General features: G+C 40.1%; 1 protein-coding gene across 7 annotated transcripts in view, besides 1 other annotated feature; it reads right to left on the bottom strand.

The window, feature by feature from the left end:
- The window catches only part of RABEP1 (rabaptin, RAB GTPase binding effector protein 1), a 104057-nt gene that overhangs the window by 74236 nt on the left and 13528 nt on the right, over nt 1-16293 (bottom strand). For 4 of the 7 annotated variants that reach the window (XM_011524060.3, NM_004703.6, NM_001083585.3 and 1 more), the window contains exon 2: nt 3283-3411. The exons of 1 other annotated variant lie outside the window; for it this stretch is intronic. In XM_011524060.3, the coding sequence (XP_011522362.1) occupies nt 3283-3411 (129 nt within the window). Of the gene's footprint in view, nt 1-3282; nt 3412-14590; nt 14761-16293 lie in introns of all 7 variants that reach the window. 2 more of the 7 variants (XM_047437039.1, XM_047437038.1) reach the window with 2 other exon arrangements.
- Nucleotides 12575-12624: a silencer, noted in NCBI's record as "silent region_8068". NCBI's record gives its function as "represses an Ori minimal core promoter by ATAC-STARR-seq in GM12878 lymphoblastoid cells {active_cell/tissue: GM12878}" and the evidence as "EXISTENCE:reporter gene assay evidence [ECO:0000049][PMID:35858748]".

Genomic DNA, 16293 nt, shown 5'->3' with positions numbered 1-16293 from the left:
ACAAATCTTTTGGCAAGTCAGGTGGACGCAAGTCCTCTTTCAACAAAATTGAAGACAGACCTAATTCAGTTGTTAGCTGATAGGATAAAAACATTTTGATGCTAAAGAACTATGTAATTTAACATATAATTTAGAAACAGCTAAGAGAATTGAATAATAATTGCTGTAATAAAACTCTGTTTCTATTTACTCACTCATGAGACCAAGGGTTCTTGGCATTTATATGTTTAAAAAAATAAAACTACAATAGAATTGATGCTGACAAGCTATCTTTTTCTAGCAGTAAATAATATGCATCCAGAGATTAACGATTTAATGAGAACCAATATATCTCAAAAGAGCTGCATTTCCAATGATTTTTATATTTTCCTATTTTTTAGTCTGTTTTTTTTTTTTTTTTTTTTTTTGAGATGAAGTCGCTCTGTCACCCAGGCTGGATGGAGTGCAGTGGCACAATCTCAGCTTGCTGCAACCTCCGCCTCCCAGGTTCAAGCGATTCTCCTGCCTCAGCCTTCTGAGTAGCTGGGATTACAGACCCATGCCAACATGCCTTCTAATTTTTGTATTTTTTTTGTAGAGACAGAGTTTCACCATGTTGGCCCAGCTGGTCTCGAACTCATGACCTTGTGATCCGCCTGCCTCGGCCTCCCAAAATGCTGGGATTACAGGTGTCAGCCACCGTGCCTGGCCTTATTTTCATAGTAATATGTAAAATATCCATAATGTGATCAACTGTGTATTTATAATAAATTTTAATAATATCTCCGTAAAGAAAACATTTATATGCATATTTTAAGAGTTCCAAGCACAAGATGTTACTTTAGGCCAGTAGTTTTTAAAGTATGGTCTCTGAACAGTAACATCTCCGCCAACTGGTAACTTGCTAAAAACACAAACTCTGGATCCCAGTGCCCTAGTGAGTCAGCGTCTCTGAGGGGGGAAGCCAGTAATCCTTGTTTTAACGAACCCTATTAGGTAATTCAAATGCACACGCAAGCCCATTGTGGTGGCTCACGCCTGTAATCCCAGCACTCTGGGAGGCCGAGGCAGGCGGATCATCTGAGGTCAGGAGTTCGAGACCAGCCTGGCCAACATGGTGAGACCCCGTCTCTACTAGAAATACAAAAATTAGCAGGGCGTGGTGGCACACACCTGTAGCCCCAGCTACTAGGGAGGCTAAGGCACAAGAGTCGCTTGAACCCAGGAGGCGGAGGTTGCAGTGAGCCAAGATCACACCACTGCACTTCAGCCTGGACAACACAGCGAGACTCGGTCTCAAAAAAAAAAAAAAATGAATGAAACAAATGCACACTCAAGTTTCAAAACCATTTTTAAGAAAAAAATTCTAAAGGAGATGTAAAGAAGAAAACCCAACGCAAGGAGGAAAACCACTGTAAAATTTCGGCTATAAAGCTATTCATGTGTTTGTTAAACAGATAACAATGGATAAATCACTGATATTTTCATTCCACTGGATATGTTTAAAAGCAGGAAGTTGGCCAGGCGTGGTGGCTCACCCAGCACTTTGGGAGGCCGAAGCGGGCGGATCACAAGGTCAGGAGTTTGAGACCAGCCTGACCAACATGGTGAAACCCCGTCTCTACTAAAAATACAAAAATTAGCCGGGCATGGTGGCACACACCTGTAATCCCAGCTACTCGGGAGGCTGGGGCAGGGCAGGAGAATCACTTGAATATGGGAGGCGGAGGTTGTAGTGAGCTGAGATAGTGCCACTGAACTCCAGCCTGCGTGACAGGGGAAGATGTCGGGGGAGACTCCCATCTCAAAAAAAAAAAAAAAAAAGGACGAAGCTTTCATTTAAATTGTAAATATCAACAATATAAAATTTTATCCTTCACATCTTTTCAAGCAAAAAATTTTAAACATCAACTTTAACATGTATGAAGGTTGTATGTAAGTATATATTTTACAGAGTTCATAAGTTAAAAAAGGTGCATGATCACTAGTCCAGAACAGGATTTTTCAAACTGTAGTACTTGAACTAGCAGTAACTGGAATCATCTATGAGCTTATTAGAAATGCAAATTTCTGGGCTCCACCCAAACATACTGTGGTTTAACAAGCTCTCCAGGTGATTTTTATCCACATTTGAATTTGAGAGCCACTATTCTATTATAGACTAGAGCAGTTTTCAAAATTTAGTGTGCAGCTGGACCCAAATCCCACAGTTTCTAACTCAGTAAATCTGGGTGGGACCCAAACATTTGCATTTCTAACAACTTTCCCAGGTGATGATGACGATAATGATGCTGTTCCACAATCACACTTTGAGAATCACTGGTCTAGAGAGCTGTGGAAACTACATTCACATTATTCTAGGTCGATACTCAGAAGGTAAGCCCCTTCCCTGATCCTTCAAATCAGGTCCCCCAACATGTTCTCTCATGTATTTTCCTTATACAGTTTCTTTTTCTTTTTTTTTTTTTTTTGAGATGGGAGTTTCACTCTTGTCGCCCACGCTGGAGTGCAATGGCGCAATCTCAGCTCACCTCAACGTCTGCCTCCTGGGTTCAAGCAATTCTTCTGCCTCAGCCTCCCGAGCAGCTGGGATTACAGGCATGCGCCACCATGCCCAGCTAATTTTGTATTTTTAGTACAGACAGGGTTTCTCCATGTTGGCCAGGCTGGACTTGAACTCCCGACCTCAGGTGATCCGCCCCCGCCCGTTGGCCTCCCAAAGTGCTGGGATTACAGGTGTGAGCCACCGCGCCCAGCCTGCAATTTCCTGTTTTAACGACTCATCACACAATTACTTAACATCTGTTTTGCTCATTGAGTTCAACCAAGTTAAAGAACCACATGAATTTTCCTCTTTCTGTATACCCAACACAAGTATAATGTCTGCCTCATAGTAGATATTAAATAAATATTTATTGATAAATAACTGAATATTTGTTGGGTAAAACTGATGTTTCATGGAATTAAAGATAACATAGCTAAAGCTGTTATTAGAATGCCAACAATCCTAGTTTGCCCACAACTGTATCCCAAATGTTAAGAGCAATAACATTCTCTTATCTCAAGGCTATGCAACCTAAATATGAACAGTAAGATCAAAAAACAAGGCAAAATCTGAAGAAGGCATTTTTCAACTTGTTTTTCAATCCCATTCTTAACCTAGCCTTTAAACAGTATTCTTTTATTATGCAAGTACAAATAAAATCAAGGTTTATTCAATGATAAAATTAACACTACTACCAAGAAACTCAACACTTTAAGGCAGTTTTCGCATTGAAGTTGGTGCGAGACTTATGAACTTACCCTCTTTAGCCAAATATAACTCCTTAAATTTTGCTCTCTTTTGATTAAATTCTTGTTCAAGCTGCTGTTGTGCACGTAAAAATTCTGCATTAATTTTTTCCAATTCTGCTACCCGTTGCTGAAGAGAAACTGGGGGAAAAAAACACTAGTTAACAAGTAATAACTTTTATTCATAAATTTATAAAACAGTAAATTAGTATTCTAGCTGTACATTGCTATACGTGAAACAAGTAGTCAAGCTTCTTCCAAAAATCCACCATATGCTAGGATATTCTAATGTTTAAAAAAAGTAAGACAGACCAGGCATGGTGGCTCACGCCTGTAATCCCAGCACTTTGGGAGGCCGAGGCGGGCGGATCACCCGAGGTCAGGAGTTCGAGACCAGCCTGGCCGACATGGAGAAATCCCATCTCTATTAAAAATACAAAAATTAGCCAGGTGTAGTGGCAGGTGCCTGTAATCCCAGCTACTCAGGAGGCTGAGGCAGGAGAATCGCTTGAACCCGGGAGGCGGAGGTTGCAGTGGGCCGAGATCGCACCACTGCACTCTAGCCTGGGTGACAGAGTGAGACTCTGTCTCAAAAAAAAAAAAAAAGATCCTTGTATTAGACTTAATACACAACTGTAAATGAGTCATGTAAAGTGAAACCACAAATATACAGAGAATCACATAAGGCCAACTTCCCCACAAAAAAAAGAGCTTCTAAAGTGCCTTTGTGCAACTGAATAGCAATTTAATTTTAGAACTGTTAAATATTGGATTATTTGAACTACTTATCCCACAAATGAACCTACTGCCAATCTTGCTATTTCCCATTTCTCTCAAGTGTCACAAGCAAAATCTAATAGGTTCCCTAACTAGTGTAGCCATACCAGACTGAACTATTCTTCCAACTTCAAAATGATCCATTACCATTATACTGAGATCATAATCAAAAACCCATTCATAGAGAGGATACAGAACTGCACATTCTATATAAACTCTCAATTACTGGGAGATAATCTGGTTTTCTTCCATGTTTTCAACATTGATCATGGTGTGCGGAGATTAGCAGACTTTTTACTTTATGGACTCTATAATTTGGACACAGCTGGTTAAATGATTGCCTTCCCTGACCAAACCCAGGGGTTCCTTTGATTGAAGCATAAGATAGGAGGTCCAGCTGTGCAAACCCCTGATCTCCCCTTTTGCCCCAACAGCATCCCAGCCTTAAAGCTATGACCATAATCCCTTTAGGGGATATCGGTTAGTACTAATCAACCACTAACTACTTAGGCCAGCAGAGGGCCAAGTTTCCTACTGCAAGTCACTCCAGATAATGATGATTTGCCTAGAATTTTAATCAAGATCTGAGATTATCTTTGAAGGCTATCCCCTCTCCCAATCACTCAATTTAATTGAGAGCTGATTTTAAAATGTATAGAAAAAAAGACTGGAAAAAATGTACCAATGATTTATCTATGAGTAACAGAATTATGGCTCATTAATTTCTTCCATATGCTTTTGAGACGGAGTCTCCCTCTGTTGCCCAGGCTACAGTGCAGTGGGGCGATCTCGGCTCACCGCAAATTCTGCCTCCCAGGTTCAAGCAATTCTCCTGCCTCAGCCTCCCAGTTAGCTGGGACTACAGGCATGTGCCACCACGCCTGGCTAATTTTTGTATTTTTAGTAGAGACGGGGTTTCACATGTTGGTCAGGCTGGTCTCTAACTCTTGACCTCAAATGATCCACCCACCTCGGCCTCCCAAAGTGCTGGGATTACAGGCATAAGCCACCGCACCTGGCCTTCCATAAGCTTCTCAAAGTTCTCTTCTATGCAGATATGTATTCCTTTGACAATGAACTAAAACCAACACAGATGGTTCAAACTGATGGTTTCACTTACAATTTTTCCACTTTATTATGGTACTCATACAACCATTCTCTTTTTTACTTTCAACTTTCACTAGAGGATTCAATAAATTACATGAGATATACAACATTTTACTATAACTTGATAAATGTTAGCTGTTAGCTGTCATTATTAAATTGGTGGTATTTATTTAATGAGTAACAAAAAAAAGTAGCAATCAAATGACCTTGTATATAGCCAGAAAAGACCAGAAGTCACTTCCAACCTCATGATTCTGACTCAGTTCCATGCTTAGACTTCCAGCTTATACCCTCCTCTATTATCATGTATCTTTTTTTTTTTTCAGACAGAGTCTCACTCTGTCACCCAGGCTGGAGTGCAGTGGTGCAATCTTGGCTCATTGCAACCTCCGCCTCCCGGACTCAAGCAATTCTTCTGCCTCAGCCTCCCGAGTAGCTGGGAGTACAGGCACATGCCACCACGCCCAGCTAATATTTGTATTTTTAGTAGAGACAGGGTTTCACCATGTTGCCCAGGCTGGTCTTGACCTCCTGACCTCAGGTGATCCACCCACCTCGGCCTCCCAAAGTGCTGCGATCACAGGCATGAGCCACCGTGCCCGGCCTACCATGTATCTTTATAGCATCGTGAACAAACTAATTACCATAATGCCAGCCTTCAACAATATTAAACCTTCTGAAATTTACAAGGCTGAGAATGTAAGTATGCCAGCCTTTGTCAACAATAGGCTTTCTGTTAGAAGATTTTGCCCAGCTGCAGGCTAATATAAGCATTCTGGGTACATTTAAGGTAGCTAGGCTAAGCTATGATGTTCCGTAACTTAGGTATATTAAATGCATTTTATGTTATTTCCAATTTATAATGGGATATAGCCCCATGGTAAGTCGAGAAGCATCGCTATGTGTTCATTCCCATGAGACCTTGAAACTAGCCTCACTATAGATTTAATAGTGTAAGTGCAATCATTGCCGAAAGAGGATGACTGCTGGTTTGAGTTCCATGTCACTAATGGTAATTTTTGAGGAACTAACATGTAGGGTCTCTAAGTCAAAGCACTGACTTCTGGTCAACTGAAGGTTTGATAACTTTGAGAAAAAGAGGGATGAGAAATCCACTGGAAGGAAAATGTGCAATTATCTCATATTACCCTTTGAAATCATGAAAGAAATCTGTTCTCTGTGCTAATTCTGCTGGTATTTTTATTGTTAAATCCACATTGTTTAATAAGTTAAACAACTTTTCCACTTAACACTTTAGTATTACTGGTAGCTACTGATTAGTACAGAGGTAACAAAGGGCTCTGGGGAATCAAGGAAAGAGAAAAACCAAAATCCCTCTGTTCTTATTTTTCTCTAATAAGATGTATCCCCTCCTATCCCTACCTTCTACCAAAATGCACACATAACCGAAACACCCATACCCCTCAACATTAATATATTTATAATTAGGAAATGAGGCAAATGAATCAACAAAACAAAAATGCAGCTGTTAAAGATGCAGCCAAGATTAAGTATGTTTCCATTACTCCCAACCCCTTCATGGCTCTGACCCACAGTTTAGACCCACTCTATACCCACAAAGCCTGGCTCTCTCCAGGCTTCAGGACAGTGTTCAGTTCTAGAAATCATGATCTTTTGAGAGTATATCGAGTAATTGTCTTATTTTATTTTTAAGAAGTGATCATCCACCTCAAGTACTTCTAACATACTGCAATTCTACAATATAGAAAGACAAAAAAAACTGCTTTTTACAAGAATGCCTTTACTACAACATCGAGACAAATCGATTCACTCTCAATATGAGAAAGTTTACAAATAAGCATATCCTAATGCATTAGCAACCAACCACAAATCAAGGAGAAAATAGCTCTCATCACACAAAATGCTGTATTATTTTTTATAACATGGTAACTAATAGGTCACTATCATTAGCTAATAGTTCATGTAAAAAGTACTTAGTGTGGCATATAGAACAAACTTGATAAGTGTTAGCTGTCATTATTAAATTGGTAGTATTTATTTAATGAATAAAGAAAAAAAGTAGTGATCAAATGACTTTGTATGTAGCCAGAAAAGACCAGAAGTCACTTCCAACCTCAAGATTCTGACTCAGTTCCATGCTGAGACTTCCAGCTCATATCCTTCCCTATTACCATGTATCTTTATAGCATCATGAACAAACTAATACTAATTACTGTAATGCCAGCCTTCAACAAAATTAAACCTTCTGAAATTTAGAAGGCTGAGAATATCAGTATGCCAGCCTTTGTCAACAGTTCCACACATCCCGTATTTGTTGCCTTCATTTGAGCAATAAGAAAAAGGGAGAAATTATCTAATCCATTGCCTACTTTTTTTTTTTTTCCTTGAGACAGAGTTGTTGCTTTGTTGCCCAGGCTGGAGTGCAGTGGCGCAATCTTGGCTCACTGCAACCTCCATCTCCTGGGTTCAAGCGATCCTCCTGCCTCAGCCTCCCAAGTAGCTGGGATTACAGGAGCCTACCACCATACCCGGCTAATTTTTTTGTATTTTTAGTAGAGACAGGGCTTTACCACATTAGCCAGGCTAGTCTCGAACTCCTGATCTCAGATGACTCACCCGCCTCAGCCGTCCAAAGTGCTAGGATTACCGGTGTGAGCCACCACATCCAGCCATGCAATGGCTACTTATAATGCTTGACATCCAAAGGGAAAAATGACTATGTCACTCAATTCAGAATGTCTCAAATAGCAACAGCAATACAAAACGAAAAAAGAATACAATAAATAAATGGAGTAAAGACCTAATAATAATTTTGATATAAACAAGAGAACACGCAATAACTTAAAATATTTCTAAGACTCAAGCTGTGTCCTACTACTACGTTCCTCTTACAAGTAAAACAATATAATAAATTTTTATTTATTTTTTTTTTTTGAGATGGAATTTCGCTCTTGTCGCCCAGGCTAGAGTGCAATGGTGCAATCTCGGCTCACAGCAACCTCTGCCTCCTGGGGTTCAAGTGATTCTCCTGCCTCAGCCTCCCAAGTCGCTGAGATTACAGGTGCCCACCACCACTCACAGCTAATTTTTGTACTTTTAGTAGAGATGGGGTTTCACCATGTTGGCCAGGCTGGTCTCAAACTCCTGACCTCAAGTGATCTGCCCGCCTTGGCCTCCCAAAGTGCTGGGATTATAGGTGTGAGCCACCACACCTGGCATCTTTACACTAAATTTGATAAAGACATAAGCAATGTGAAATTTACTACGACCAAAACCTTTTTGTTTAATGATGTTCAAAATCCAAGAAAACACCTATTTCAATCAATTTACAACAAAAAATAACTCCAGTGGGATCAAAGAATCTGAACAGTTCCTAAAACTCATATGTCTTATCTTGTTTCTCACTGGATTTTAAAATAAAACTATTGGACAGGCACAGTGGCTCATGCCTGTAATCCTAGCACTTTCAGTGGCCAAGGCAAGTGGATCTCTTCAGGACAGGAGTTCAAGACCAACCTGGTCAATGTGGCGAAACCCTGTCTCTACCAAAAATACAAAAATTAGACGGACGTGATAGTGCGTGCCTGTCATCTCAGCTACTTGGGGGACTGAGGCACAAGACTTGCTCGAACCTGGGAGGCAGAGGTTGCAGTGAGCCAAGATCGCACCACTGCATTCCAGCCTGGGTGACAGAATGAGATCCTATCTCAAAAAAAATAAAATAAAATAAAATAAAACTATTAAGTATGGTAGGTATATCCTACCCATCCTACATATTCATTCAGTGAAGTAATACCAAGCCAGAAAAAGTTATATTAAGTAAATACATTATACATAGCACAGTATGAGCTACACAAAAATTATATAGAAAAAAAGACTGTAATGAATATCCAAAATGGCATTCAGAGTAGTAAAAGAATTATGCTGATGAGATTTAAATCAAAAGGCAATGAGATGCTTTATCTTTCTTGTTTTAAGAATTATTTTATTGCTCTACCTCAATCTATTTGCTCATAAAAAAGTATTCATAATTTAATGGTCTTAAAATATTTCAACACAAAAAAAATCATTTTTTAAATTTTGCTCTTAAGAAACTCACAGTCTATAAAATCATTTTTTAAACTACACTTAAGATTTTCCTAGCCAGGCCCAGTGGCTCACATCTATAATCCCATTACTTTGGGAGGCCAAGGTGGGAGGACTGCTTGAGGCCAGGAGTTTGAGACCAGCCTGGGCAACAGAGTGAGATCCCATCTCTACTAAAAATACAAAAATTAGCCAGGTGTGGTTGTGTGTGCCTGTCGCTTGCGCCTGGGAGGTTGAGGCTGCAGTAAGCCAAGATGGCACCACTACACTCCAAAAAAAAAAAAAAAAAAAGTCTAAAAAATTAAAAAGCTTATAAGGTAACTTTATAGACTAAGGTAAGCTGGCCGGGTGTGGTGGCTCATGACTGTAATCCCAGCATCTTGGGAGGCCGAGGGGGATGGATCGCCTGAGGTCAGGAGTTCGAGACCAGCCTGGCTAATATGGCAAAACCCTATCTATACCAAAAAAACAAAAATTAGTTGGGCATGGTGGCGGACGCCTGTAGTCCCAGCTACTCGGGAGGCTGAGGCTTGAGAATTGCTTGAACTGGGGAGGACAAGGCTGCAGTGAGCTGAGATCGCACAACTGCCCTCCAGCCTGGGCAACAGAGCAAGACTCCATCTCAAAAAAAAAAAAAATGTTTTCAGTAACATTCCCCTAAATCTGCTCCCTTAGAGATTTTGGTTCTGCTCTCCAGAATGAGAGCAGATTTTCTAGTATCTGAAATTTCACACCCACCGTTTTCTTCTCCAGATTTCTCCTAATCATGATTTCTAAATGCTTCATTATCCAAGTTGCTCACCCTTCAAACTAAACTTAGTCAAAGTTCCACATAAAATATGACAGTCTGATCTAAACACAAAACCAGCATAGAGTCTAATAGAAATATCTCCTTTCTTCAGAGGACCATACCCTTAACAATGTATGGTAAATCTACTCTAGCTTTTTTGCCACAACCCCATACTGTTATTGTTATCCCATAAGATTAATGTAATCCAACACTGTCCTTAAACCCTTCCCACTTGAACTGCTATTAAACCAAGGCTCCTCTTACAACCTGAAGCTAGTGCAGTTTTAACCATGGCGCAGGTGGTTGATTTTTTTTTTTTTTAAACAAAGTTATTGGTTAGGCCTAAGAGACCCTTGGTATATCACCTGAAATCTTGGTGGAGGTTGATATTGATTTATTACTCTAAGTTTGGTATGCAGACTGTTACTGGTCTAAGAATGAGATAAGGAGTTTGTGCCACAACGTAAAATAAACTAAGACACTAAGCACATTGCTTAGTTCTACTGACATTTTTCAATGAAGAAAGCAGTACATGGATTTATATTCTGGTTCAGGTTCCTTGTGCCCTAGAAGACCATTAAAAACAGTTTGTGGACAGGTTACTTTCAGTAGTACTGCTATAGTTGACAACTGCCATATCCATGGCTGTCTATCAATCCTTTGCATAGTCTTCTTACATTTAAAGAAATTTCCATTTTATGAGTTTCAGCTTCCCAAAATAGAAGTCAAATACAAATCCCCAATCTCCCTTAAAACCAGAATGCAGGCATGTGACCCAGCCTCCTCCAATCAAACACACTCAAATGCAACTTCAATTCAGAATAGAGCAGTGTAAAGAAACGAGGTTCCATTCTCATTGCTGTAAGACTTTTAGTCGTGTCCCAGTGGTATAGGTCTAGCTCCTGAATCAGAAATGGTATCAGTCCAAGCAGCAGAGACAACAGCATTAAAGTGAATTTCTATAGGCCAGCAGCACCAGAGGCAAGTTTCCTGTAAGGTCAGTTCTAGAGCAGCTTTTGGGTATTCCTTAAAGTTTAGCATAAAGGAGTGATTCTCCAAGTGTAGCTCTGGGACCACAACATCACCATCACCTGGAAACTTGTGAGAAGTTCTCAGGCCCCATCCCAGGCTTCCCGGAATCAGAAATTCTGGAGATGGGGCCCGGTAACATGCTTAACAAGCCCTTTTAGATGCAGGCTAAAGTTTGAGAATCATCTAGAATCTCTCTCCCTTGCCCTCCCAATGACTCTGTAAGCAACTTCATATCTTCTCAAAAATACCTTTTCTGCTTAGACCAGACAGGACAAATTGTTTTGTTTGCAACCAAGAAGCTTGGGCAAAACATACTGTCACTCCCACTACCATACTCTTAAAGACTGCTCATAGGGTGCTAAGCAATGATTAAACAATAATAACAAACATCTACAAGGAATTAACAAGAGTTAGAGGGTAGGAAACACTTGAAAAATCTGCTTACGATCAACCTGGCTGATTTCATAACATCATACGGGGATGGGGGAGCACATACTGACTTCCTTCTCAAGAGTACAGTATAGAAAGGTCCCCCCGCTTGCACCCCAAGAAAGAGAGAGAAACTTGACCAATACTACCTCAGTAGGGGTGGTCAAGGCTACACATCACTGATAAGCCATGTATGTAACCTTGATGTGACACAAAGAAAACGATACTTTACCCATGTGCTCTTCCTCCCAAGACGCTATGTCAGTCTAATCATGAGAAAAACATCACACAGATCCCAATTTAGGGACATTCTGCAAAATACCTGACCAGTACTTCTTAAAACTGGCAAGATCATCAAACCAAAGTCACAGAAACTTTCACAGTCTAGAGAAGCCTAAGGAGGCCTGGCAACAAAATGTAATGTAACAGCCTTCAAGCTTAACAGAAATGAAAAACTCATGCACTTGAATGCTTAGCTGGGTAGATTTTCCTTCCCATCTAACTGCATATTATACTCTATAAGACCCAGTCATATCTCCTAATATAACCCTCAGTTTTGCCTGGAGTCCAATCAGAGAGAAAAAGCAGTTTAGAAATGAGTGTAGGCCAGGCACGGTGGCTGATGCCTGTAATCACAGCACTTTGGGAGGCCGAGGTGGGCAGATCATGAGGTCAAGAGATCAAGAGCATCCTGGCACACATGGTGAAACCCCATCTCTACTAAAAATACAAAAATTAGCCGGGCATGGTGGCAGGAGCCTGTAGTCCCAGCTACTCAGGAGGCTGAGGCAGGAGAATCGCTTGAACCCAGGAGGCAGAGGTTGCAGTGAGCCGAGATCACGCCATTGCACTCCAGCCTGGCGACAAGGAGAGACTCTGCCTCCAAAAAAAAAAAAAAAAGAAAAAGAAAAAGAAAAGAAAAAAAGAAAAAGAAATGAGTGCAGAGAGCAGCTTGAATAGCCCTGTAAATGAGAAACAAACCCCAATGACAGCAGAGAGGACTGGGTCACAAGGCAAAAATAAAACCGTGACTAAAAATGAATTCAGAACCACGTAATATAAGGGCAAACAAAACTAACTGAAAACACACTTCAGTGGCCCTAGGGACTCATTAGCTTACCGCTCAGTACCAAAACTAACTTCCATAATACTAAGTCCTCAATAAAAGATTAAATGATGCCCAGTGTTCTCTGTTTAAGGATAATAGTGATAATAGTGATTTAAGTAAAACTGCTTAAAAAAAAAAAAAAAACCTGCTACACACCTAGTACCCAGACTGTGTTCTCTAAATGACATTCCCCACTAAAAGGAACTAGGGATCCTTAGGAAAAAGGACCAATTCCAGGTCCAGGGCAGGAAGTGTACAAGATAAGCCTGGAACATCTTGTCTGTTAAGGTTATATAAAAAGATTTAGGAGTCAATGTAAAGAGGCCACACACTGGCCAAAAATGAGACAGTTTGGGTATCAGTGTGGTAGGCTGAAACTTCCTCCCACCACACCCCCTCCACACACACACAAGTGCGCACGACAACTGGGGAATATGTGAACACAGAATGGATATTTGGTGTTACTGTTAACTGGTTTTAGGTGTTATAATAGCATTGTGGTACGTTTACACATACACTGAAATATTTCCAAATAAAATCACAGATTCCTAGTTTAAAATCCTGGAGGAGGCCGGGCACAGTGGCTCACGCCTGTAATCCCAGCACTTTGAGAGGCTGAGGCGGGCGGATCACGAGGTCAGGAGATCGAGACCATCCTGGCTAACACGGTGAAACCCCATCTCTACTAAAAATACAAAAAATTAGCCGGGCGTGGTGGCGGACGCCTGTAGTCCCAGCTACTCAGAAGGCTGAGGCAGGAGAAAGGCATGAACCCGGGAGGCGGAGGTTACAGTGAGCTGAGATCTCGCTACTGCACTCCAGCCTGGGCGACAGAGCGAGACTCCGTCTCAAAAAAAAAAAAAAAAATCCTGGAGGAGGTGGGAGTTATACGTGAGACTGGCCATACATTAAGAATCATGACACATGGAAGGTGGTGACTCTACATACTAATATTTTTAAGTGTTTAAGAAGCTCCATATGAAGATATAACGAGGCATTATGCACATACACACACAATTCAGAGTGGAGAACTATTCATAAAGAATATCATAATCTCTGGTTATTACCAGTTCCTCTAATATAAACAGTAATTGGTTTAGAATAGTCTTAAGATTTCTATCATTTACAAGAAAAAAGCCTAATGCAACAAAAAACACCTCTTAGAACCATATTTAATTATACCGTAAAACGAATCAAATTCCCTATATATACTCTTCCCTTGATTGTAACATAGAAAATTTTAAAATGTAGATGTAATTCCTTATCTCCCTACACTTGGGTTATAAAAAGGCTACACATTAGCTATAAACTCTACAGTGGGGGTTACTTATCAGAAGAAAAGTTCTTCTAAATAAATAATAAAAACACAGGGTTATATTTTATTTACAAGGAAAGTTGGCTGCATTATTTATGGGCTTTTCCGAAATAGCAAGGTCATACACAGAGAGGGAACAGAATTTTTAATAAATAGCTATCTGCCTACATGTGGATGAAGGAGATTAACTGTATGTCTCAGGAAGGGAACACAAGAACCAAGAGGAAAGAGAAGTCTTAAGGAAAGAACGCTGATGTTAACACTTGGGAGGAAACTCTTGATTAAAGCTACAGAAAATGAAATGTGTAATTGAGCTAACAATCAAGTATCCATTGCCTATTTATCAACTATTATATGAGAAGCCATAGAGCATAACAGCTGAGAGCACAGGCTCTGGAATTAAACTAGGGTTTGAATCCCAGCCCTCCCACTAAGCTGGTTCCTTCTCTCCATCTGTAACAAGGGGGACTAATAATAGGACTATCTTCTAGCTTTGTAGTAAGGATTAAATAATTCACAAATAGCTCTTCATGGAGTATCAGGCAAGTTATTTTATACACTGGCTCATTAAATTTTCAAACCAAACCATAAAATAGGCATTATCACCCCAGTTACAGATGCAGAAACATTCTAAGATTAAGCTAACCTATTGATATACAGCTAGTAAGTAGCAGAGCTGGATTCAAACACTGACCTGCCTGGTTCCAAGGCCTAGCTGGATTTCCCCATGATTACAGGTGTTTAATAGAGGAGATTCATGAGTCACATGAGCAGAAGTTGTAAACGGTGTAATACCACCTCCTAGGGATGTTCTTCTTTTATGCAGTCACACTGTTCATTTATACGTTGAAATCTGTAAGCAATCTGTATTAATTACAAATTATTTTCCTTTACAATAAAGGCATTATGCTGTTAGGTTTTGGGGTTTTTAAAAAAGTCTTGTGTACAATTTTATATCAGAATGGTAAAGGGGGTATCCTAAAGCATTTTGTCATAAACCAGTGGTTCTCAACTAAAGGTCATTATACAATTTCACCACCAAGAATTTATCCTAAGGAAATAATCATAGATATGTATAAAGACATAATTGCAAGAATATTGACTGCAGTATCAGTTAAAATTCCAAAACATTCGGAAAAAGTCAATATCTAACAATAGAAAACTAACAAAAAGCTGGGCACAGTGGCTCACGCCTGTAATCCCAGCACTCATGGAAGCTGAGGCAGGCAGATCATTTGAGCCAAGAGTTCGAGACCAGTCTGAGCAACATGGTGAAACCTCTTCTCTACAAAAAATAAAAAATTAGCCAGATGTGGTGGTGCACACCTGTAGTCCCAGCTGCTCAGAAGGTTGAGGATCAACTGACCCCACGGGGTCAAGGCTACCGTGAGCCATGACTGTACCACTGCACTCCAGCTGGAGCTACAGAGTGAGACCTTGCCCACCCCAACCAAAAACAAAAAGAAAATAAAATTGACAAAATAAATTATGCAATAGCTATACAAGTTAAGATGAATCTTGAAAGAGAACATAAATTCTATCAAATGTTCAGAGAATATTTTCTATACTACTTAAACTGTCCTCAACATAGAAAAAAATGAAATGTTTCCCGTTTTACCAAGCTAGTATAATCAAGATACCAAAACCAGGCTGGGCACGGTGGCTCACACCTGTAATCCCAGCACTTTGGGAGGCCAAGGCGGGTGGATTACCTGAGGTTGGGAGTTTGAGACCGGCCTCATCAACATGTAGAAACCCAGTCTACTAAAAATACAAAATTAGCCGGGTGTGGTGGCACATGCTTGTAATCCCAGCTACTTGGGAGGCTGAGGCAGGAGAATCACTTGAACTTTGGAGGCGGAGGTTGTGGTGAGCTGAGATAGCACCATTGCACTCCAGCCTGGGCAACAAGAATGAAACTCTGCCTTAAACAAACAAAAAAAAGATACCAAAACCCAATGCAGTACCAAAATGGAAAACTACAAGCCAATCTCACTTATGAATATAATCGCAAAAATTCTCGAACCTTAGCAAATCAGATCTAGCTACATACTACAATAACAATCCATCACAACCAAGTTGAGTTCATCTGAAGTGCGCAAAAACAAACATCCAGAAATCCATTAATGCAATCCGTTTTGTTAAACACATCAAAAAGACCTGAGATAATCTCAGTGAATTTTAAAGAAAAGTAAAGGAATTAGAGAGGAAACAGCTATGAGAAACAGACTATCCAATATAAGGATGATCCATGTGCCTGAAGTAGAGAACCCAACAAATGTAACTAAGAAAACAGTAGAAGATTTAAAGGAATAAATAGTCCCAAAAAGAAATCAGAACTAAATCTACAAAAAATAATGATGTGGCAAACAGGCCCACAGAGGAAGAAAGCAGAAA

The sequence above is a fragment of the Homo sapiens genome, chromosome 17 (genome assembly GCF_000001405.40).
Source record: "Homo sapiens chromosome 17, GRCh38.p14 Primary Assembly".
NCBI lineage: Eukaryota > Metazoa > Chordata > Mammalia > Primates > Hominidae > Homo > Homo sapiens.
This window is presented reverse-complemented; position numbering and strand designations above follow the sequence as displayed.